This window comes from Homo sapiens, chromosome 8 (genome assembly GCF_000001405.40).
Source record: "Homo sapiens chromosome 8, GRCh38.p14 Primary Assembly".
Taxonomy (NCBI): domain Eukaryota; kingdom Metazoa; phylum Chordata; class Mammalia; order Primates; family Hominidae; genus Homo; species Homo sapiens.
Genome location: NC_000008.11, coordinates 106,494,360 through 106,520,614, shown reverse-complemented (window position 1 = coordinate 106,520,614; position 26,255 = coordinate 106,494,360). Strand labels below are relative to the sequence as shown.

General features: G+C 37.4%; 1 protein-coding gene and 1 long non-coding RNA gene across 7 annotated transcripts in view, besides 1 other annotated feature; one reads left to right on the top strand and one right to left on the bottom strand.

Annotated features, from left to right (window-relative positions):
* Nucleotides 1–3,581, top strand: part of OXR1-AS1 (OXR1 antisense RNA 1) — a 140,687-nt gene extending 137,106 nt beyond the window's left edge. For both annotated transcript variants that reach the window (XR_007061059.1, XR_007061055.1), the window contains one exon: nucleotides 53–3,581. This is a non-coding gene — a long non-coding RNA (OXR1 antisense RNA 1). The remainder of the gene's footprint in view (nucleotides 1–52) is intronic.
* The window catches only part of OXR1 (oxidation resistance 1), a 482,517-nt gene that overhangs the window by 232,080 nt on the left and 224,182 nt on the right, over nucleotides 1–26,255 (bottom strand). For all 5 annotated transcript variants that reach the window (XR_001745547.2, NM_018002.3, NM_001198533.2 and 2 more), the window contains one exon: nucleotides 1,476–1,672. Coding sequence is in view for 4 of the 5 variants with exons in the window: in NM_018002.3 (NP_060472.2) it covers nucleotides 1,476–1,672 (197 nt within the window). In the remaining variant the exon portion in view is untranslated. The remainder of the gene's footprint in view (nucleotides 1–1,475; nucleotides 1,673–26,255) is intronic.
* Nucleotides 20,745–20,794: an enhancer, noted in NCBI's record as "active region_27799". NCBI's record gives its function as "activates an Ori minimal core promoter by ATAC-STARR-seq in GM12878 lymphoblastoid cells {active_cell/tissue: GM12878}" and the evidence as "EXISTENCE:reporter gene assay evidence [ECO:0000049][PMID:35858748]".

The window sequence follows — 26,255 nt, the reverse complement described above, 5'->3', positions numbered from 1 at the left end:
TCATTACCTGACTATGGACAGTCTCATTGACACCATACTTGTTGCCTTTTAGAAAATAAGACTTGACCATCTGGAAAAAGGAAGCCTGAGAATGAATATATAAGAAGAGGACATAAAATGGTGGAAAGAGAAAGCATGGTTTTAGCAGCCAAATTCTGAAATAAGGCTAAACCTACATGGAGGCATTTCTTCAGCTTGAAGGAAGGAATTTAACCCAAAGACATTGGAAAATGACTTGACAGAGTCACACAGGAAATTGTTGTAGGAATTAGAACTAGAAATCTGGTCTCCTGATGATCATTTCTAGGAATGGCTACTAAAAAATCAAAGAAAAAGATTTCAATAGAACTAGAAATCTGGTCTCCTGATGATCATTTCTAGGAATGGCTACTAAAAAATCAAAGAAAAAGATTTCAATCATCTTAAAGCAAACAGTCTCATACTGGAGTGGTGAGGATGGTAAATTTTAAAGAAAACAGGCCCTCTTTGATGTAACACTGGTTAACCCATTAAGCCACAGTCTCTACTATTACAGCTTTTGGATGTGACCAAATCTCTCCAAATTGAAGTAACAAGCAAGGCCAAAGCAGCCACACTCTTTTTGGGTGGATTTGTCTCCCCTACACACCATTCTTTCCCATATACTAGATGTTTAGTAACTTTTGTCTCAGATAGACTGAAGACACTAAAAGCTGCTATTGTTCATTAAAAAGCAAGGCCAAAGACATGCTGGGCTAATATGGTACACTAAAGTTGGTAATTTGATTGGTTTGGACTGATTGCCTACAACTGTCTGATTAAATGTTAAAATACAAAAATTACAGGATATCATTATATCTGGGGGAAATAATGTAATGCCTGCACAACCCAAGCCATATCCTATTACTCTTCCCTATGAAGGGCCTGGATGTCATTCAATTTTTCCAAAGTAAAGCAAGGTGCAAGGTCAAAATAGACCCACAATGTAATCTGTCCTCTCTCAGAATGTAATAACGTTACTTTCTTACTGGCTTTGTTAGTTACAGGCTAACGTCAACCACAGTCTTAACAACCTGACGGAACAGGTTCAGAGACCTGGGAGCCTGAAGGGAAAATGAAAATAACAAAAACAAAAAACAAGAAAGGTGCTGGCTGAACAATGGCTAAAATGAAAATAGCACACAAAGTTAAAAATTGAAAAACCTAAGAGAGAGAGAGATAGTATATGTGTACGTATATGTACGTATATGTATATTTACTTCCCCTAGGTTAGGATATAGAAGGTCCTCAAGCCTGCTTTTATTTAACTTTGCTGAAAGTTTTTCAGTAGTTTTCCATCTTTATGTTCAGACCACATAAGAAAATGTCCAAATAAACCATCAGAAAGATTTACATGTTTTATAACAAGGAGCCACTTAACTAAACAGACCCAGAAATTCTCAATGCCATTTAGGTAGATTTCATCTATTCACTTGCATAAAACATCTGGTGCTCACCAATTGTGTAGAACCTCTTCAGTTCGCTCCTTCTGGAAGGATGTTTCTGAGTATTTGCTGCATTGTTCTGCTCTTCTTCAATGATGGGGGTCTTGGGTGCCGGGGGCTTACTGGCTTGTGGTGTTTGCTTTCCTGCACCAGCCAAAGGGTTGAACCCTGGAGCATTAATATCCACCGACTGGGACTTTTTCTTCAGCCTACAAGTAAAGAAGACCACATGCTATGAATCCTGATTCTAGAGACACATTTGTTCCATGTTTATAATTTTTTTTCAACAATTGAGTTATATTTAACCTTGAGATAGAACCACATCTATTCAGAAATGATAGACATTCCCTACAGTATTTTAAGAAAAATTCTACAAATATTTTTGAAACTAGAAGGAAAAATATCTTCTGCCTAATCATTTTGAAAGATTGCATTAAAATATAAGGTGATAAAGAGCTTTTATTTTTTCAATAACCAATTAAAATATAGTGTCAAAGATAATGTATTTGACTATAGTATTTAGTTCTGAAAGGAATTTTTTAATACAGTGAAACATTAGTTAAAAATAAATGTTAACTCCAAAAAGAATAATAAAATCATTATTTTTTAATCAGAGGCTGCCAGTGTTTTTCTGCTTAATCTATACAGCATCTTAGCTGTAAAAATGATAGAATTCATGTTATTTTACTATGCATTCTCAGTAACAATAAATGTGTTGCTCACTTCTACATTTTAGATAGCTGACATAAGGCCTAACATGGAAAGCAAAAAGCTATCCAGGAAATATTTCCCTGCTCATGCATATTTCCTTTGGCATACAAATCATTGTAAATGATGGTGAGTTAACTTCAAACATTTCAAGCTACACAACTAATGTAATTAAACCCTAAGTCCAATTTACTATTGGCCCTTGGTACTTCTGCAGGCTGATGTTAAGTGTCATTTTTCAAGTCTTTCATTCCCTATAAACAAGATGGTGGCAATTTTCTTTATTTTCTGAACACTTGCAATTTCCTAAAAGTTTCATACTTCTTCATACCTTCAAATATGATTTAGGCTTTTCTAGTACGTTGGCTTCCCTTTTCTGCCTTGCTTGCAGACCCTGTTCATGCTTGTTAGACATAGCTTCAACGTGACATCTGGGAAGCTTCCCATGACGTGGACCTTGGTAGCCTCACACCATTCAGCATGGAGGGTTATTCATAATTAACCCACAATTAGCTTCTATTGAACTGAATTTTCCACAGCAAAAGCTTTGTGAAGATAATACAATCTATCAAGTACTAAAAGAGTCATTAATGAAAGCAATGTCTACTAAATTTTAGTCATTAAATTATGACCTATATGATTTCTACCTTATCCATATACGACCTATATTATCTTAATATCCATGAAAATAGATTCACGTAACTCAGATTGGCAACAAGTACATTTTTAAGTGTTCAACAGCAGTAGTCCTGAGGAATACAAATTATAACTACATTGCACTCACACCACACCCACCACAGTGGCTAAAATGTAAAAGACATGATACAAAGTGCAGTGATGAGAAGCGATTGGAATTCTGCCCTGCTGGTGGTGGTGCACACTGGTAACATTACTTTGGAAAAATGTCTGGCAATATATTTTTGAATGAAGTTCAAGGCATGTATTTTTATGTGTTAACCAAAAGATGCATTCAAGGATGTTAATCTCAGCAGGATTTGTAATACACAAAAATTGAAAAAAACCTCAAATGTCTATCAATGGTAGAATGGAATTTTATACAGCAATGGAAATGCATGAACTATGACTATTAGCAGCAACATGAATGATTTTCATAAAAATAGTTTTGAGCAAAGAATCCAGATATAAAAGAGGGCATGCCCTATGATTCTACGTATATTAAGTCCAAACACAAGCAGTACTATCTATGATAGTAAAATGGTAGGCTAAACATTGGGGAGTTATTACATTGACAACAACATGAAGGGGTTTATGGGATTCTGGTAATGTTTTGTTTCCTGATCTGGGCACTGGGTACCAGGATGTATTTACTTTGTGAACATTTAACCATCTACGATTTTTGGATTTTTCTGGGTATATGTTATACTTTCAATAAAACATTTTCATGAGAAATTGACTTTTACCATACAGTAATCACTTCTTATCTGCAGGGGATATATTTCAAAACTTCCAGTGGATGCTTGAAACCACAGATAGTAACAAGCCCTATACAGTACATACCATGTTTTTTTCAATGCATGCATAAATATGATAAAGTTTAATTTATAAATTAGGCACAGTAAGAGATTAACAATAATAACACAGAACAACTATAACAATATACTGTAATAAAAGTTACATGAATGAGGTCTCTCTCTTTCTCTCTCTTAAAATATCATATTGTACTATATTGCAGTTAACTGAAACTGCAGAAAACCAAACTGTGGATAAGGTGGTACTACTGTATTCATTTACAATGAAGATTATATATGGTGCCAATGACTACTTGCCACAAAAAGGTGGTAATAAAAATAAATAGAGTGAAGCTCTTTTCATTCCAGACTCCTAGAAACTGACAGAGTAGAGTGACATTTAATGAACAACCCTTTTTTTCCACTGGGAATGGCTGTTCTCCCTATCCAGCGCCCTACTTCTCATGAGCTGAAATGAACTGTTCATTCATTCCTGGAATGGCTACTCTCCACCCTACACTGTTCTGGGCACCAGGGATACACAGTGAACAACACAGGCAAAACAACTGTAGTCCTAGAGCCCTTATTCTTATGGAGGGAGACAGGTGATAAGTAAACAAGCCAATATATAACAAATTAGGTGGCAAAAAGTGCAGTGGATTAAAATCAAGCACAGTAAAAGAGATAGGGAATGAAGGTATGCATTTGTACTGCTATATATGGGACAGCCAAGTAGGGCTCATAGACCATTGGACTTTTGAGAAGAGACTGAAGGAATGAGCTATGATCATAACTGAGGGAGCAGTTATGAGGGAGCAGCATTTCAGAAATAGACTTGTATGTGATGTTAGTGGAGCAGGGAGGGCACAATGGCTGGAACAGAGAAAAAGAGGGAGTGAGAAGCTGGAGATGAAGTTAAACAAGATGGTCCTGAGGGCAGGGGAGTGAGGCCAAATCATATAGAGCTTCAAGGTTCTTAAATGAGGCCAAGAGAGGATTTGAGCAAAGCAGTCATCACATGGTAAAAGAATCACTCTGAGCTGCTTTGTGGAAATTAGGGTGAAAGCTGTATCTCACAGTTAAGCAAGCTGAATGGAGTCCTTCAAGGAGTAGTAACCAAAAATCACCTATGTTGTCATATACTTGAGGAAACATGGATTTACACTGTATAGCTTTATCTACTTTTTCCTAATGCCTTGTTCCTCCCAATAACACCATTCTTATCTTAGGTGTTTTCAGACTAGAGCTAAAAGCTACAGAAGTACTATACGCACCTAAGAAGGCATTAAGATTAATAATAAAAAAAGCAGTTTAAGAAACAACTTGCATGTATACACAACGGAATACTACTGAACTTGAAAAAAATATCTTGTCATTTACAACATGAATGAACCTGGAACACATTAAATGAAATAAGCCAGGCACAGAAAGACAAATACCACACAATGTGACTTATATGGAATCTAAAATAGTTTAACTTGTAGAAGCAGAGTAGAATGAAGGATATAAGGAATTTAGATGGGTATAATGTTGATCAAAGGATATAAAATTTTATCAGGAGAAATAAGTTCAAGAGATCTGCTATACAACATGGGTGACTATGGTAAATACCAATGTAGTGTATTTCGAAAACTGCTGAGAGTAGGTTTTCAGCGTTGTCACCACAAAAAATAAATATGTGAGGTAATGCATATGTTAATTAGATTAAGCCATTGCACAGCATATACATATTTCAAAACATCATTTTGTACCCTATAAATATATATAATTTTTATTTTTCAACTAATAAAAAAGAAGATAAATAAGCTATAGATCACCAAGGCAACAAAGTTTATTTGGACCAGCATGGCTTTCCAGGAGAGCACACTTACACACGCCAAGACTTAGACTGCACTAACAGTATTATGTTGAACCTGATGAAATCCCTAATATTCAACCATTTTTGACATACAAAATGTCAATATTCTATAGTTGATCCTATAAATTTTATTTCAAAATTAAATTTAAGTTTCAATATAAAGTAAGTTATTTTGGGGGAAGGCAGTTTCAGAGGAGTAAATATTTAAAGGAAAGGTGTGAAATTATACAAAAAGCCAGCTGCTCTTTTGTTCTCAGCAATAATTATCATTATTAACAATTATTTACATTTTATAAATGTTTTACCTTCAATTCACATAGCAGATTATTTTATCACCAGAAACTGTTTGTATTTTACATTGGCCCATTTTAGAATTGATCTAAAGTCTCATATTGGCTTATATGATGGCTTATATTTGATAAAGGGATAGATATTATAACAAATGATGCTCTGCCAGCACTACAAAATATATAAGCATCTCATTGCCCTTTTTATATTCTCCGTAGAATGAGCAAAGGACGTGGCACTGAGCTCCAGATGGCCAAAGACAAACAGAAAATGACACTATTATTCCCCTTCTTCTTTCTCCCCCTCCTCACCAAACACTCTTCCCAACCAAGACTCGAAGGGCATCACGTTTTTGTTCTAAGTTTAGAATACTGCTAGTAGGTTTTCTGGCTTGCATAAGACAAGACTTCCATTTGCACATTCTTAGAAAGCAGAACTGTGTGGGTAATTGAATTACTGGCTAACAATTCTAAAAATGAGTATTGTGGTTGACAAGGAAACCCGTTAAATGCTACCTTCAATTTCCAAATTTCGTGAAAGGGGAAGTCTTTTTAAATTTTTAACAATGTTCTTAATTAAATGCGTTAAACAAATGTAAATATGGCATAATGGAACATATAGGTGTGCACGAGATAAAGTACCCTATTTGATAATAAATGAAACATTAAAAATGAAGACAAAAATAAGCTCTTAATAGGCACTGCGAGGTTCTTTGTTGAATGTGCTTTGCATTCCCAAAGGAAAATGGGTGCTGAAGCCTTAGACAGAGACTAGGAAATAAGGAAAAGAAGACATCTCTCTTGGCATGGCTCCTATAAGCAGACTGGTTTGTCTTAATTTTTGCTTTTTCTTGTCCTTCTGCTTTTGAGAAGAAAAGAACAATCTTATTCCTCTGCACATGTATTCCAATGCCTTCCTTCAGCATGGTAACAATGCTGGGTGCTTTTCTGAGACTCACTCTCCTCATCTATAAAACGGGTATAAAATATACCCAGAAAGGTTCTAAGAATCAATAAACACCATATGTGAAAGTGCCTAGCACAGCATCTACACAGGAAGCTCTCTATAAATGCAAGTTCCAATCATTTTGTAAGAGTATGTAAGATGCTATAATTGTGTTCTGCACAATTCCCAGGGATGCTGAGGAAATTATATCCGCTTCTCAGGCTTCTTTCCTCCTGTACCACTTTCGATAAACACTGAACCTGCAGGGACTGCACTGCATTTTGAAGGAGGCTTGACTCATTCTGGAGTGTGGGTTTTGAGGGAGGAGTGAAGGATAACAAGAGAACTAACTGAATACAAGTCCCTTATGTGGTATGCAATGTGGTATTTCTTTCACGACAATCCCCAAATCTTTCAGAAAACAACTAAACCCATCAGATAGATCACCTGAGTGTGTGTGTGTGTGTGTGTGTATAAATCCACGCAGGTTTGACCTGAGACAGCAAACTCAGGAGCATAGATGGAAACCAGAGAACCATGAAAAAGTAAGGACAAGAAGTGGTAATGCAATTTGAGGAGGGATCTTGACTTTCCTACTCTGTGAAAATAGGGTTCAATCCCATTTCAACCAGCTCTCCAAGGAGCAGGAAAGGCCTGGTAGGTTGATAATGAAATCTGAAGTCACAGAAACTAGTGAAAAAAAGAACTGGCAGAAAATATCCAAAACTCACTAATTTTAACAGAATGATTCTTACAGTAATTAGCTAATTTTACTCTTGCATAATTTATTTCTATTTTACTAGAAGCATAGGAAATCTTACACTCATTTTCTAAATCACTTTTTGAGTAGGATAAATGCACTTTTTGGCTTAAATGAATGAACGTACATCCCAAAGCCCAGGGCAAACGCCAACAGTGACTGAATGTGGCTTTATACTGCTCACTGTGGAGGGTTTCTCCCAACATCTGGGTCAATTCTTTATTTCAATAGCTTTCTTTGTAGCAAATCTTTCTTCAAGCTTCTTCACTTTTAGCCCTTATAAACCATTATTTATCACTTGTCTTACTTTTTTTGTCTTATCTTCCCTTTTCCTCTCACATCTGTGGGGTTTTCTCTTTCCTACTATCTCCACCCTTCTATCATCATCCCCTCACGTCATAACCAAGCAATGCTTTTCATCTTTCCTCGTCTATCATGCTCTGCATCTCTTAATAGTTTTGTAATCTGGTCTAAATACTACATGATACAACTCTACCTTGAGCCTAAACTACATCATGATATGACTGAAACGCATAAAAAAGTGTTTTTATTTAATTGAGTTCTTCACTGGAATCACCTCTCCCATCAAGTGGAATTCAAATTGTGCCTGGATTATAACTAGTTGGATATGTTCCTGAGTTCTGTAGTTGTCTGGAAAAAAAAACAGATCTTCTTCTATCCACTTATTATAGTCCTAAGATATTGGTGGTAATAGTAGCAACAGTTGAGAAAACCCACTATAGCATATGGGAATATTCCCTAGGCCTTAGGAATTTAAAGCAGTATAAAATTAGCATATACAACTCACATTTCCATATATCCCACTGTGTACATTGAGAATAACAGAATAGCATTTAAGACTATGGACATGGGGACTGGATTATCTGGAATTGAATCCATAATGTGGCATTTACCAGCTGTGTGACCTTGGGCAATTGGGCAATTTTCTTAACCTTTCCTTGCCTCCATTTTCTCATCTGTAAAATGGGAATATTAACAATATCTGTCATAAAATTGACATGAAGATTAGACTAATATTTGAAAAAGTACTTAGATTTGGCATAAGTATCGTATAAATGTTTGCTTTGAAAAAGCAAACATGAACATTCATTGAGCATTTATAATGTATCAGGTAAAAGGCCACATGTTATACACGCAATATTTCATTTACTGATCACAACAAGCTTATGAGGTAGGTAGCATATGTCCTATTGGTAGAGGTATCAACTGAGGCTTTAAGAAAGTAATGGAACTAGAAAGTAGAAAAGCTGAAATACAACCAGGGCATTTTGAACCAAAGGCCACATTCTGGAATTAGGAGAAATAGATAAACTTCAGCTCTTACACTTGGGCAAGGACCTGGACTATCTAAGTCTTATCTACAATAATGGTATTCATGCTATATCTGCCTGCTCTACCTAAGAAAGCTATTGTAAACATAAAATATGTTCATTTCTATTAAAGCAGTGTATAAAATTCCACAGAAATCTATATACTAGTAGTAGCTATACACATTCTCACTTTGCCTTATTCATTTGTATATTCACACAAGTGTGTGTGTGTGTGTATGAGAGAGAGTGTGTGTGTATGTGTGTGTGAGGTGTATGAATGCATGTGAATGACTGTGCCCCAAAGGCCGAACACTCGTAGTCCTTTCCAGTAATTTCCAGCAAGAAGACCATCTGTGGTTTGCACATCTTGTTACTGTTAGGGAAGCTGTCTCTTTGCTTCCTAAAAGAGCTAATGTAAGAATATTATTTAAAGTAGGAAAGCTGCTGAGAATGCAGGTTTTCCAAGTTGGATACTGTGGCTGCTGCAAAAGTCTCAAGTTACTCAAAAATAAGCTTTCGGGAGCAAATGCATAAAGAATTTTCACATTGCAAAATTAAGGGTTTTTGTTACCCCTCCTATACAGTCTGACTAAAAATCAGCAGCTAAAAACAAACCATAAAATCAGCAAAACCCAAGCATGTTCAGAAACTCAACCACAGAAGAAATGATAGATTGGAAACTTATGCTTTAAAAGAAGAAAACAATCCCTTGGGGGTATAGAATATTCCAATTCTAGCCCACTCAGTAATTGCAGTGGCCATACTATTCTTTGTGCCCTTAAACAGGAGGATTAAGACAGAAAGTCTCATTAACGTGGAATCGGGAATTACTCAATCTACTTTTGCAATTCCAAACCAAAGCAAAAATGCTTCAACAGAAGTATCCTTTGGGAATTCAAATTGGTGTTGGAACAGTTAATGGGATGCTGAAACTAGATAGTTTGTTATAACAAGATGTGTTTCTAACCCTGTATTCACTCTAAGAAATTTATGCTTTTCTATCTTGGAAATTCAGAGAACAGAAAATGTAAGAATTAAGCCACAGGTGCAATGACATGCAGAAATGGTTTGCTAGAAATTCTAACAAAAAAACAAGAAATTCTCTCATTAAATGTAGTTGAATTTAACTCTGTGAAGGGCTAGGCCAGTATAAAGAATAATAATAATTATATAGAAGCATACATAGATTCACTGCTATTATACCTAATTTTATGCTATGAATACTAGAAATTAAACCCCAAACTAATTCTGCCTCTTCAGAGTTTAATAAATGCTAACATAAAACGTTAGCATTTCTTACTGACCTTTAATGAAAAGGACATCTAAATCATCTAAGTTTGCCAGCTGGTTTGTTTATATTCCAATTCTTGCATCAGTTCAGAGAAAGAGGTAATATGAGAGAAGCATTTTCTATTAGAAGTGCACACCACCAGATCAACTTAATTACTACATTCATGGAAATTCTAGTCTGTTCATCATTTCATTCCTAGGATTTAGCACAGAGCTAGTCATAGAGTAGGCACTTAGGAAATAAATTGTTGAATGAATGAATGGTTTCATTACAGGGGAAAAACCACAAAGAAGAAAGCATGTCTACATATAAAAACCTATGAAAATAAACTAAAAAAAAGACTTGATATTTGGTAGTGGATATAATGATTAAATTAATGCATCCACATAACATAGCCTCCTCCCTATCCCATTATAAGAATATGTGTTGGGGCTGGGTGCAGTGGCTTACTCCTGTAATTCCAGAACTTTGGGAGGCTGAGGTGGGCAGATCACTTGAGGTCAGGAGTTCGCAACCAGCATGGCCAACATGGTGAAATCCCATCTCTACTAAAAATATAAAAATTAGCGGGGCGTGGTGGTGTGCACCTGTAGTGCCAGCTACTCAGGGAGGCTAAGGAAGGAGAATTGCTTGAATCCAGGAGGCAGAGGCTCAGTGAGCTGAGATCTCGCCACTGCACTCCAGCCTGGGCGACAGAGCGAGACTCTGATTAAAGAAAAAATAAAGAATGTTTGTTGGAGCTTAGATAAAAGAAACAGTTTCTTCTCCACCATTAATACTAAGATAAATCCAAATAATACCTCAATTTTTTATTCACTAAGTCATTTTATAATTTCTAAATAAACACTCTGCAGTTTTGATAAATTGATATCATCATGCAAAAATTTTCTATAGTGCCCTGGGGGACAAAACAGGGCAAGGGCTCTAAAATCAAAGATCTAGATTTAAGTCCAGGATCTAACGCTTTCAACAAACTAGTGATCAGATATTTTAATTTTATTGATTAGAAATATGTAGCATGTTTCCTTGGAGCAATCTTTAAGAATTTTGCATATCATCTTTCTACTATAAAGTTTCAAACACTGAGTTAATAGTAGCAAAATTTGTATGGGTTTTCCCTCATGTGCTTTCTGATTATGTCACTATATCACAAGCATTCACTTTGAAATTACACAAATTTCCAATTTATTTCAGTTTTTGCCTTGGAACTTCAAAGTCTTTCAACTGGAAAAGGCTGAAAGTAGGAACACATTATGTAAATCCAAAGATTAGGGCTTGAAGGATTTGGAAGTCAAATTCTTGTAAATGTTAAACAGTCTTTTGCAGTAACTCACAGAGATGAAATTTAATTTCATTACCTTTGATGGAGTGATTTGTAACACGCTATTGCCACATCGATTTCTTTCTGTTTATTCATTTTAGGAAGAAGGAATCAGAATAAATATGACTATTTTAAGACTTTAGGCTTTTATCCAATATTGCTGATTAAAGATACCTATTTTTAACAAGGCCTATTACAAACTATCTCTATAAATCATATGGACAAGCTGATTAAAATGTAGTTTTGCTTATGCACAACATAAGGCAACTCCAAACTTAATCAAGATAGCTTCTGCAGGTAATAATAATCTGGGCCAAAGTCCAGTGGTTTATAGTTAAAATGACAATGTAGTCCAACGATCTACCCTCTTAACTTTCCCCAAAAGAAGACACAAAAGACAGGAAAAGAAGGTACAGAAAATATGATTCTTAGCTACATTTTAATTCAGGAATTGGGTGGAAAACACTCTGGGTAACCCATTGTTTCTTGACTTCTTCAAACTAAATCATCCTATTGATGAATATAAAACATCCTTAAGTCATTATAAATGTTTTAAGTAAAAATGACATTTTGTGGTTTTTAAAAATGTACGATTGCATTACTGATTACATTGTTGATTGAAATGATTTCTTTTGAAAGCTGCCCTATCGAAATTCGGATTAGCTACCCTAGACAGGGCATGCCACATCCTCTTCCTCAGTTTGAGAATCACTAGGTGTATCTGTTCTAGTTTTCTTCTGCTTAGATGATAGTGGCTTCACACATGAAAGCTATGTAGTGCTCCCAATACAACCAAGTTGGATTTCAGACTTTATTCAGAAAAAAAATTATAAAATGTTAAAAATTACATTACAGAAATCACTTTTCTTCTTCTCAGCAGTGACTCTATAAACATTATCTTTCCCCATTATTTTAAAACTTTTCTTTCTATTACAGAAGAGAACATGATCCTCTTCTTGCCAAAGCCAATCTCTCCACATGTTCTCTAAACCTAATTGCATTCCCTCTTTATACTGGGGGTTTTAATGTACTAACCACTCTCTTCCTTCTGTAAGTCCTGAACTAATTGAGAAATAGACACAGGGGGCAAGGACCCCACCCCAAGCTGGCACTTGGAGAAGCAGTGTCCTGGTGAGATTGCCCCAGGGGGAGCAGGAGTTAAGATGGACATGCTGAGGGCCATCAGGTCCCAAAAGAAGAAGCCAGAGGAGGCTGGGTCATGCAGCCAGAGTCCTTCCTTTTCACAGCCTCAGAAGTCACTTTTCTTCCTCTGGGGAGGCATGAGTCAGGGAGAATGAAAGAAAAGCCAACATTCTCTTTGAAATCCTTCAGAAAGGAAGAACATTTCTATTTTACGCACAAAGGAAGGGATGCAGGAAAGGGAGAAAAACTTCCTCCTACACTCCCTTTTCAAGGCTTTACTCCGAAGTGATCTCTCTTATCCTGTTCACTCGCTCCCTGCTCACTTATTCCTGCCAGCATTCACCCAGCGCAAACACTTCACATCACTTCAAGTCTGTTTCTCTGTAAGGCCACCATTCCCTTCCTCTAATTTCTTCTCTCCTTTTCAGCACACAGCTTCATCTCCGATTCCCTGCACAACCCTCTCCAAAATACTGCTTTGTACTCACCGCTTTCACAAAACAACTCAGGTTTTCGTAACTTCATGTAGTCAATTTCAAAAGGTACTTTTTGATATTTATTTTTCTCAGTCTTTTACCTGCTGGGTGTATTTGTGGAAGAGAATAGCACAAGGGTTAAGACTATGGACTCTGAAGTTAGAATGCCTGGCATTCGACACTTGCCTTCTTATTATGGGATCTTGGGCAAATTACTTAATCTCTCCATAGTTTCCTCATTTGTAAAATGGATCTAATAACAGTACTCAACTCAATAGTCTATAGGAGGGATAATATAACACCATCCAGATAAAGTATTCAGCATGATACACACTGGCACATATAAATACTCAACTTTTTTTAACCACTCCCTCTATCTTGAAACATTCTACTTTCATAGATTCCCTGACATAATTCTCCAAATATTCCCTTTTTCACTATTCCTTGAATAAGCCTCTTTTTCTTTTCTTTTTTTAAGAGACAGGCTCTCACTGTGTCTCCTAGGCTGGAGGGCAGCTGTTATAGCTCACTGCAGCCTCTGAACTCCTAGGCTTAAGGGATCTTCCCACCTCAGCCTCCCAAGGACCTGGGACTACAGGGGCACACCACTGTGCCCAACTTTTTTTTTTTTCTGGAAGACACAGGGTCTCATTATGTTGCCCAGCTTGGTCTTGAATTCCTGAGCTCAAGCAATCCTTCCATCTCAGCCTCCTAACTTGTTGGGATTAGAGGCATAAACCACCACACCTGACCCAAGTCCTCATTTTCTATTCGACCTCTAAATATTTTGTAATTTTGATTCAATCCCTAAGTATTTTGGAATATCCAGGGGCCTAATCCACTTGGTCCAGTTGGGCCTCCCTCTGCTCTATTTTCACTCTTTCCCTAGATATTGTAGTCTATTTCTTTGGGATTAAACATTTATATCCTGAAGACTCTTTTTTTCTTTTTGAGATGGAGTCTCGCTCTGTCACCCAGGCTGGAGGGCTGCGGCGTGATAGGCTCACTGCAAGCTCCGCCTCCTGGGTTCACAACATTCTCCTGCCTCAGCCTCCCGAGTAGCTGGGACTACAGGTGCCCGCCACCACACCCGGCTAATTTTTTGTATTTTTAGTAGAGACGGGGTTTCACCATGTTAGCCAGGATTGTCTGGATCTCCTGACCTCGTGATCCGCCCACCTTGGCCTCCCAAAGTGCTGAGATTACAGGCGTGAGCCACCGCGCCTGGCCAAAACTCTCTGTTTTTACCTCCAAAGTTTTCCTCAACACTTGGAACTTAAATATTCAGCTAGCTACTTGGCATTATCCATTACATGCAACACATTTTATACTTAACATGTCCAAAACAAATTCTTGATTTCTAAACTTGACCCTGACTTTCCTCCTTGTCTTCCCAATCTCTGGAAATGGCACCAGCAGGCACCTACACAGTCGCTCATGACAGAAACCTTGAAGGATATTTCATCCTTTCCTTTGTAACACTTTCCAACTCTGATTCATCAATAAACCCTTTCTATTATACCTCCAAATTATATCTTAAGTTTCTTCATTTCCTAGTCATCATTTCTCTCGACTGTTACCAAAGCCTCCATGCTGCTCTCTCTGGTTAGACCTTGGTCCCCTACTACCTACTCTGCTATAGCAACCAGAGCAAGCATTTTTAAACATCAAGCAAATGGGTTGTTCTCTGACTTTAAAGAACTGAATGGCTTTCCACTGTGGTTGGATGAATTTCTAAGCATCTTTCAATGGTCCATAGTGCCCTGATAGTCTTGGGCCACTTTTCTTGCCCATGTCCTAGTTGCCTTGATATCCTTCAAGATTCCCAAATATGTGAATCTCTTTCTGTCCAGAGGGCCTTTGCATATGCTCTTACCTCCACCTGGAATGCTCTTTGAATTGCTGATTGCTTCTTATTTTTTAAGTCTCCTCTGAAAGACCATCCCTACAATTTTAAGTAGGTTGTCTCTCATCCTCCTTCCCTAGCTCCCACTTCACCCCAGGTTACTCTTTAGCACTGCATTCTGCTCATTTGCTTCTCATGGTGTTTATCATAAAGTCTACCAACAGATTTGTTCATGTCCACTTTGTTCTGTCTCTCTCATTTCATTAGACACTCTGATGGGGAGTGTCTTTTAGAAGTCACTTCAAAAGGAAGTAGATTTCTTTTATGTATCCAATACAGTGCTTTGCAATTATATGCACACCAAAAACATATACTATATGAATTAATAAATGAGTGAATCAATCAGTTCATGAATCAATGACCCCCTCCTCATAGGCTTCACACCTGTCTTCATACAGAAGACTTATAGGACATGTGGTTATGTTTATTTTCTCCATCTTCTTTCATTCTTAGTTTGGCTCAGTCACAATGTCCCAAATCTTTCGCAAGAAATTACTGTCATATTTCTCTGGTTAGAAAACCACAGCATTCCTAATAGTTATGTAAAAATACAGCTATCTCCTGATCTATAACCTGGACCAATTTTTAAATCTGAAAATTATGACTGAATACACAGTTTAAGAAATAGGGTTAGGTAGAAGATTCTTTTAAACATGTGTTGATTTATTGGTATTGTGCTAATGAGCATTTCACACCTGCATTTTCCAGGCCTCATACTTCTGCAGGTGGTAAATTACATTAGGAGAAAAATCAAATGGAGAGTGAATGCAGAAAAGCAATATATTATACATTAACAAAGCCAGGAAAAAAGGGGCAATAGAAAAAATATGTATCCATATATGTACTTCTAATTGCATGACTGATAGAAATTATGACATAACTATTTAAAGCAGTATATTTTTCAATCCTCATTAGTATATTTAGTCAATCATCATCAAAGAATAATAAAATCTGATGATAACAAAAAGTACAATCTTTATTTATCTCTAGATTAGAAGGCTTTTACATCTGTTGGGAAGCCTAGTTCAACTATTAATGTTATAGTGACAGTAATGTAACTATAGAAATGTAAGATTTCTTGAGCTCGTGCTATACATTAAGTAAATGATAAACAATTGCCTTTAATCCATTTGCTATCAGCCACTTGAGGTCAGGGATTGTCTTATTCTCATTTGAGCCTTCAGTGCCCTGTATTCTGCCAGGCACATAGTAACTACCACTTAAAGCTTGACTTCACCTAAGATAAGCTTAATAACCTGGAACGTAAAAACAGCACAGGAAAGGATGCCTTGAAGCCCTCTCAGAAACACTTAGTTGCTCTACATCACAAACTTGATATTAGCACTATAGTTTCAAGGGTGCTCCTCTGGACTCCTCTTAACTGTGAGTGTAGTAAAATTAAAACAACACTGGTCTGGACTAAAAATTAAATTTTGAAGTGAGGCACTTAACCTGAACCTCATAATTCCTTCATGTGTACAAAGCTGAGAATCATTCCTGCAACATTAGCCCAACGAGGGAACAGGTCTTTGTGTTCCCCAACATCTGTTGAGTCCCTTCTATGTTCAAAGCACTGTACTAGATTCCAGGGATCTTACTTGCTGGCATCAGCTCTTTGTATTTTGTTAGGTGTTTAAAGCTGACTCTCTCTTGTTGGGTGGGATATTTTAGGAGTTCTTTGTCTTCTCCTCACTAGAGAGATATCTGTAGTTTGCTCTTTGTGACTGAAAGCAGCTCTTCCCACTGGTCACTCATAGCTCCTTCCCAGGGCTCTGACAGTAGACCTCCATGTTCTTTCTGCTCGCATTACCTCCCTCCCCCAGGTAGAAGAGAACTAAGATTCTTGCAGGACAGTTCTGGACAAGATCCAAGACTCTTTCAGGCCAGTTCTCTCTTGTAAGGCCACATCTTGCCAACACGAAACATTCTTTGCCCCGCAGGTTTCAGCATACTCACCGGATGGCAGCTCTTTACATCCCCTTGTCAGGTCTCCAAGCAGCTGTAGTCTCTCCCCCTTTTCATTTCTCGTATTTGACTCAAAGTCTAAGCCATTGTTTCCCCCAAGCTCTTTGGTTTGTTTCAATGAAGGCTCTTACCTATTTGGGATAAGGTAAAGGCATCCCTCACCCCTTACCCTTAAGGGTTGGGATAGGACAGGATTCCCAGAACATCAACAACAGCCCTCTCTGAAAACCTTGCTCTAATCTCCACACTGTTGTATTGGGCGGTCAGCCAAGGGTCATGAAATCAGTCCCTGTCTACCAGCTTTTCAAGGCTTTATTTGGTGGGCTCATGCCTCATTTTGAAATGAGGGAGTAAAAGGTACCTTCTCAGTTTTAGCTGAAATAGAGAAAATGTCTAATTTTAACTTCCTGTTACAGATGTAGTGTATCTTTATTAACATTTCTTACGGTCATTATTGTTCTCTGGCTAAGGAAGGGTTGAAACTGCCAAAGAAGGTGTAAATGGAAGAGAGACATCCTTCCATTTCTAGTTTAAAATTTTTATTTATTTATATTTATTTAGTTTCTACATATTCATTGAAGGATTATTGAGTACAATGCCCTGTGCTAAATGCTGGAGACACAAAGATGAAAAGAAAAATGTTGCTATCCTTTGGGGCATAAAAAGGATGGATTTATAAAATAAAACTATAAAAAAAGATAAGTAGTTTGGTTGCAAGAGGGTAATCCTTCCCCAATTTCAATTTTGCCTTGCCAGAAGTTCTAATATTCGTGTGGATTTGTTTCTGATTACCTTTTACTCAGTTGTACAAAACTGAGTTTAGTTATTTGTGAATGGTGAGGCATTGGTATTGAGAATAATTACAATAAGAGAAAAGTGAGCCTGGGATTAGAAAAAACAGGTAAAGGTACAGGAGTGGGATAAAGGACTTCTTCTTTTCTGCCAAGAAGCATTGAGCTGAAATGAGATGGTCAAGTTTTCTTTTACAGAAGGTACTTTAAATACAAAGAAAAAGCTTCTACCTATTGCCAACATGTTATTATATAAAACGAAAATATTTTTACAGCAAAAATTATAGGTGAATCTAATCTCAGAATAAAGAGCAGACATTTGAGTTGAATACATTTAGCTAAAAAATAAGAACCCAATGGCATCATCATTCTTGTGATTTTGCTATGGAGAGGTAAAAATCTGGTGGGCATGGACTGTAAACAGGCACCTGAGAACCACTAGACTAAAAAGTCTCAAATTTTATAATTGATGAATTTGCTTTTCTGAGAATTCCTTTATTCAAGTCTGCTCCTTTCCTGTCTCTATCTTTCTATATCTTATAGCAGACGAACAGATTTTCATAGAGTGTTTTGAGCCCTGAATTCTGGACTGGCTACATAATTTGTGGTGCCTGGTACAAAAGAAAACTGTGAGGCCCCTTGTTAAAAAATTATTAGGAATTCAAGACAATGAAGGCACAGCATTAAACCAAGTGTGAAGCCTTGCTAAGCACAGGCCCTGGGAAGCTGCATGGGTTGCACATTTATGAAGCTATTGCTGCCTGTAATTCCTGATACAATCCCCCAAATTGATTTCCCAAAGCACAGCTTTTTAAAAATGATGTTTCAGTATCTAAGAATCTTATCAAAAGAAACATTTCTGGAATGAGGTTCCAGCTAGGTGGAGTCTTTGTTACTGGTCAGTAAATTACATCCTGCAAGTCAAAGCTTAACCCCAAAGTACTATAGATTATGAATTGAGATATTGCCTTAATCTCCTGGCAGTTAACATTTCTTTAGTCAGTTTATGTTAATCTTTCTATCTGTAGGGTTATTATTGAAGCTTAAGAATAATATTCTAAGAATACATGATTTGATCAAAACCACCTGGATGTTTCAAAATAACCTCCATGTGGAGAAAAAGCACTGACAGTCCCAAGCCCTGCAACAGGAAACAGATGTGGAGGAAGTACACCATCCTTCCCATTTGCATTAAAACACGAACTATTTACATGGAAAGGATTTTGTTCTGCAGAGGCAGGAGGCATTTCAGAACAAGGATCATTGGGAGACTCCTAAAAGAGTGCTCTGGCTATCACCCTAGGCTAACCCACTTTTCCTCTTTTGGATACCACTGTGGCTTCCTTCTCCTGCTTCCACTCTTTCCTCTCACTCATTCCATTCTGCAAACGAAGAGCAAAGTGCTTTTAAAAAACATAATTCAGATCGTGTCCGTCACTCCATTGGCTTCTCATCCCACTGAGAGGAGATTCTAAACCACTCACCATACTCTGCAAGATCCCATATAACCTGGCCCCTGCCTACTTCACTGGCTTCATCTCTATGCTCCTCCTCCCTCTCTCTGTTCTGTTCACACTTTCCTTTCTGTTCTGAGAAATTGCACCAACTTCAAGCCAGGCGTGGTGGCAGTTGCCTGTCTTCCTAGCTACTTGGCAAGCTGAGACAGGAGGATCCCTTGAGTCCAGGAGTTTGAGGCTGCAGTGAACCTTGATTGTGTCACTGCCTGAGCAACAGAGGGAGACTCTGTCCCTTAAAAAAACAACAAAGAAGCAGTTGTATGAGTTTGTACAAGAAGATTTTTCTGCTTGAAATCCATCTTCCCTAAAATTTCACATCTGGCTTTTTGTCATGCTGGTCTCAACTCACAATTCCCTTTCAGAAAGACCTTCCTTGATCACCCAACTTCAATTTGTCAACTCTCTCCATCACCCAATTTTGTGTTTTCTTCAGACGACTTATCAATGATACATTTTCTTGTGAATCATCTGTGACCTTAACCCTTTTACTAATGATGTAAGAGTTGAAAGTTTGCCTGCTTTGTTCACTGATTTATCCCCAGTGCTTAGAACAGACATTTAGATGATATAGCAATTTTGTTGCACATTCACATATTTCACTCTGCATTAACTAAAAGGAAAACATTATGCACTTGCTATAATTAAAAAATGACAGTTTCTCTGCAGAGATTTTAAATATACAGGGAAAAGATTGACATCTTGGATGTAACGCTTCAATGTATTGTAGCAGGATGAGCCACAGACAAAACCTCTCAGACACCAAGTTGTAGAAGGAAGGGCTTTATTCAGCTGGGAGCATCGTCAAGCTACTGCCTTAAAATCCGAGCTCCCTGAATGCACAATTTCTGTCCCTTTTAAGGGCTCACAACACTAAAGATTTTACATGAAAGGGTCGTGATTGATTTGAGCAAGCAAGGGGTATGTGACAGGGGCTGCATGCACCAGTGGTCAGAGAGAAACAGAACAGGGCAGGGAGTTTCACAATGTTCTTCTATACGATGTCTGGAATCTATGAATAACATCGGTTTCTAAGTCATGAGTTGATTTTTAACTGCTGGGTTTAGGCCAGGCAGGCCCAGGCCTGGTTTCGGGCCTGGCGCCGGACTGCCTGTCTTTGGTTTTACTTCCTTGTTGTTTTTTCTTAAAACAGGTACTGAGTATAAAACAATATAAAATAATATGAGAGGGTCTTTCTCTTCCTTCAGTATAATATATGCTATATTTCTCCTTGATGACTATACTAACTTATTTTATTTCTTTGGTAATTTCACAGGAGCTCCTTTAAGTAGTCTACACTTGATGATGATTTGTAGCACAAAAATCCATACAGCATACAGCCAGCAGCTAGACAGTAGTCACTTGTGATTCCTGGGTCACTGGCTTTTGGCACAGTAAGCAAATGAAAGCTCAGTGACTACATATTTAGCATTCACTTCTCAGCGTCACAGGCCACAGAAATGCTGCTTAATTATTCAGGCAATGATTTGCAATTGCAAGTCACTGCTGAGACAGTGACAAGCAAGTCAGAGTTTTAGGGGGAGAACACGTCTTTTTTCTACCACACATGCTCCTATTTGACTTCAAGGGTATTGCTGGAGTCAGAACCCAAATATTGCTTTATCTCATATTAGTTATATTTTTGTGGTTCCTTTCTCCCGTGACATGAAACATAGAATAAAACTCTACCAGTTATTCAAAAGTCAAAGAAGAAAAGAGAAAATTGTGAAACTTGTTCATAATTTCTGTCATGCACTGAGTTGATTAATGGCAGCAGCAATTTTGGAGGTGGTGGTGGGTCTGTTGTGTGTTTTCATCATTCCTACACAGTAAAAGCAAAGTATCACATAAGTTTATGGAAAAAAACCCTCTAAATATACAGAGAAGAATCTATTATGCTATTTGTACTGCTGTCAACATAGACTAAGAAAGAGAAACCAAGCTATACAAAGGTTTGGGTTACAAAGAGGAAGGATATTTTACATGAAACGTATACACTCTTTCCCCTGACTTAGGAGGACCCTCATCAACTGGTCTTCAATAAAGACCACTAGAAATAACATTTTTCATAAGAATAAAATATTAGACCAATAGAAAAATAGTAATTTAGCAGTCATTCTGGTAATCATCTCCCAAGCAAAATTATAGTTGTCAAGGAAAACAGGATATAACATTTAAACATCTCCTAATTCTTTTTTTTTTTTTTTTTTTTTTTTTGAGACGGAGTCTCGCTCTGTCGCCCAGGCCGGACTGCGGACTGCAGTGGCGCAATCTCGGCTCACTGCAAGCTCCGCTTCCCGGGTTCACGCCATTCTCCTGCCTCAGCCTCCCGAGTAGCTGGGACTACAGGCGCCCGCCACCGCGCCCGGCTAATTTTTTGTATTTTTAGTAGAGACGGGGTTTCACCTTGTTAGCCAGGATGGTCTCGATCTCCCGACCTCATGATCCACCCGCCTCGGCCTCCCAAAGTGCTGGGATTACAGGCGTGAGCCACCGCGCCCGGCCATCTCCTAATTCTTTAGCTAAAAAGGTAAAACCTGCATCAGTTGGTTCCTTGTTATATAAGACGATGAGATGAACTAATGGCACATAAAATTATCTTGGAACAAAATTAACTCCAAACATTTTTTTAAAGTTTTTAAGTGACATACTGCAATGAGTGCCCAGATGCATCATGTAATTTACACATACACATGCACACACATGCACTTACAAGCACACACGCCCACACTCACACACACACTCACACACACAGCTTAACATGTGAGTTGAATGAAACATAAAGATGCAATCATGATTTAAAACAACAGTCTTGAATTAAAGTCTCTTAAATAAAACACATTTCTATGGTCCATGCTGTGATTTAAAGGATTCTGGATTTCGTATAAAGCTTTTTGATCAAAACTACAATATGTGGGCTGCAAATTGTCTCATGAAATTTCTTCATTAGTAAGCAAAATTTTTACTATTTATCACATATAATATTTCCCTCCATATATTTTTATTGTATCTGAGTCACACGCTTGATTGATTTATTTGCAAAGCAAAATGGTTTTGGGATTTATGTTTAAAGGAATACTCCATGTATAGATTTATTATCTAGGCAATAAACCTCAAAAATACATTTGAGAAAAATGTTTGGTGTTAATAAGTGTAGATACTTGATGTTCATGCAATTGTACCACTTTCCTAAAATTATATTTTACTACAATATTGTGAAATGTAATTTATAGCAAACAACAGAAGCATATTTCCAGGAGTCTCCATAAGAACTTTTGGTGGCTATTGCTTAAGGACGACTATAAGCAAATTTCTAGCATGGAATTATAATCAGAAGACAAAAGTCAAACATACAAAAGTCAGAGATGAGACAGTACATTTGAACCCAGTTAAAAGTACATTAATTAATCCCATAAATCAGTTTTCCTGAGCAATACACATACATGGTAAGAATGGGGAAAAAAACAGGGCCACAAGTGGGCAGAAATTAAAATGTCCATATTTCATAGTGAGAAGGTGAAACATATGTTTGGCCTCACTCTCTGACATGCAATGAAGACACACACACACACGCGTGTGCACACACACACACACACATATGGTGACCATATAAATTTTTCTACCATAAACCTTTCCCCCAAGGAAGAGGGGTTTAATCATCTAATACACATTACAATGCAACTGAAACAAACATCAGAGTCATTCAATACAAATGTGCACTTCAGAGGTAGATTTTGATCTTCATCAAATACACATTTATGGTGTCATAGTGGCTAAGACTCCAGTAAATATTTCCAAAAGTGTGAAGTAATAAAACCTTCACCACATGAGCCAGACATTTTCCCAAGACTGTATTATTTCAATTTTTACTATGACTACTTTCTCATCACTACGTGGCTAATACCTTCTCTTTATTTTGAGATGAAAGCAAGGCAGGCAGGGAAAATTATATAACAGAAAAATACTAGCTGAATGCCTGTAAAATTTTCTAATAGATAAAAATGAATTAACTGTCACAATCACAAAAAGTGACTAACTACCAACGACTCATATTTCTCCATTAATTGAATCCCCAATATGAATTTACAAAAATTATAGGTCTCAGGCTTTTCTAAGTCAATATGTCAATTTAGTGTTAAAGTATATGAAGAGTTTATCATCTTCCAAGCATTTATGAAATCCTCCTCTAAACTGCCCCATGTTAAGTGCTGAACTAGTGCACTTTACACAGATAACAGCTCTAGTGGATATGAACTTTTCTCCCCGTGTTGAAGTGTGTCAGAAATATCACATTTCTCTGAATCAACTTAAATCTAACACTGAGCGTCCTGTGGCAGGAAATTCAATCTCAATCACTTTTGTGCTTTCCTCCCGTGCCCAGAATGGTGCAAAAATCCCAGGATCTTAAGTATCTCTAAAGCAAAAGGAAGTGCCCCCTTCCTTGACCCTCCCAGTCTTTGGTTTACATTGGTCTACCTCCGTCACAGATTGCATGGAACACATTGGGCCACACTAGTTCACCCACTGTCTCAGCTGATCCTTCATGGCTGTGATTCTGCTGTTTCTGTGCCTGCTGCAAGCAAGGGAATCATAAGTGCGACTGTAATAGTCTCCCTAGGGATATTAGCAGACCATCTTCTCTGAGATCTTGCTGTATCTTGATAGTGTGTTAGTCATCATTAGCTCCCTGGCTTCCAGGCCCTTCCTCTCCTTGTAGTTACTGGCTGGAACCATGGGACTAGCTCTGGCCAATTAGATGTTAGTAGAAGCGATATGCATCACTTCTGCACCAAGAATCACCAATGTGAGACTCTCCAGCTCTCTTTCTATCCTGGTATAGTACTAGTAATGTTGGAGATGATGGCTGTTCTGTCAACCAGGTTCCTGGATTGAGGAGACATGGAGCAGAATAAGTCCATACTATCTGTGATGAAAATGAAGATCAAATGGAAAATAAACCATGTATTTTACACTACTGAGATTTGAGGCTGTTTTTTTTAATTGTTTGTTTACAAAAGTATAATTTAGCTTAGTGCTTCTAAAACTTGAGCATGTATCAGAATCACCTGGAGAGCTTATGAAAACATACATTACTTGGTCCTGCTCCCAGAGTTTCTGGTTCAGTAACACTCGGATTGGAACTGAGAATTTATATTCCTGATAAGTTCCCAGATGATACTGATATTATTGGTCCAGGGATTAGACTTTGAGAACCACTGACCTAGACTATCCTGACTGATATGCACTGCCTCAAAGTGATGTACAAGCCCTTCTTCTGAACCTGGGGTCCATCCTCAGGGGTCCATGGACTTGAGTAGGAAAATAATAATGTCCGTTTTTTAATTAACCTCTAACTGAAAATTTAATATTTATTTTTTATTATAAATGCAGATAATGAACCACAATAGTATTAGTAGTAACTATAAATCTACAGTGAATAAAAAGCAGATTTTTATATAATTTTATAGTTAAAAATCTGTGCTCATCACTATATGAAGGTTAATTACTTGATCTGCTGCTAGATATTAATATTTTATGAATTAATAAACAAACACACAAGTTACTTATTCCAATCTCTAAAGTATTTTATAAACAATTTTTAATATAATGCTTCCTTTGACATCCTCATCAAACTGCTGAAGGGGATTGTGGTGCAGAAAGGATTAATATTTGAAGTTATCATCCTCTCACTCAGACCGAATTCTTTGCTGTCTTGGGAAAATTTCTCTTTCCACTAGCTGTCTGCAAAAGAAGCCATCTCTCTTCTATCTTACCCCAGGATACACAGCATAATTTCAGCAAATTTTGGAATTTACAAAACGTAGAAAGAACAAACTTCTAGTAACTTCTGCTTTTTGCACTCAAAATTCCCTACAACAGGAAAACTAGGGAACTGGATAATTGATCAGAAATATGGAGATGTCAAGAGGAATAAAACTTAAGAATAAAACCTCAGAAAATTATCCCACTACATTCCATCTACACGGAATACCCTCTTCTCCTTTTCTCTCTCTATTTATAGAATTGCCTGTCTTCTTCCAGGATGAGTGCAAGCTCTAGCTCTTCATTCCTAACACTTTCAATAGTTACCTGATTTCAGTAAGTTTTATTGTATTTGCCCGTAATACTAAATAGACACATATTATTGCATATTTACAAACTGTGGTTGATAATAGATTCCTCAAAATGTTATGTGGATTATGTAAACAATATATAAATATTATATATCTATGTATATTAAATAATAGATAACTATTATATATCTATGCATATTACCAATACCTATATTCATTTACTCATGTACTGAATCACAAATATTACTGAGCAGTGGTGTGCAGGGGCAAATCGGCTATCAGCTCCACTACCCTACTGTGAGTACCTACACGTGTCTGGCACTATTCCAGGTGCTGGGAACACAGTGATGATCAAGGTAGAAACGTCTGTGCTCTCATATAACTTAAATTCTACTGGGGGATGTAAGTAATAAATAACAAATGAACAATGAAGAAATGCCAAAAAGTATTACACAGAGATTTAAAAGGCAGAATGGGACACCACAGCGTGTCTCAAACTTAAATGTGCACCAGAATCACCTCGTCCACAGACCAGCAGCTCTGCTGTCATCTAACAGCTTGTTAGAAGTGCAGTCTCAGGTCCCATTCTACACCTACTGAACTGGACTTTACATTTTGATCACTTCCCAGAAGATTTGTTTATATATAAATGAGAAGCACTGTTATAAGTGACTATATAGTTGCACATAGTAGGTATTCAATATTTATTCATTTAGTCCCAGTCAATATTCATAAGCCAACTACATACTGTAGATGCAGGTGGATAAGTCAGGATACTGATGGGAGTTGGGGAGGGTTAGGACTTACAGACACCTGTCTTCAGGCTTTAAGGGAACTGGGATCATTTTCAGGGCTCCTTTCATTCCTTACAGTGCACACCTACTGTGTGTGTGGTGAAAGGTCGTCAAATATAAATTTTTCTTTAAAAAATAGGGAAAAGCCACTGTTTTTA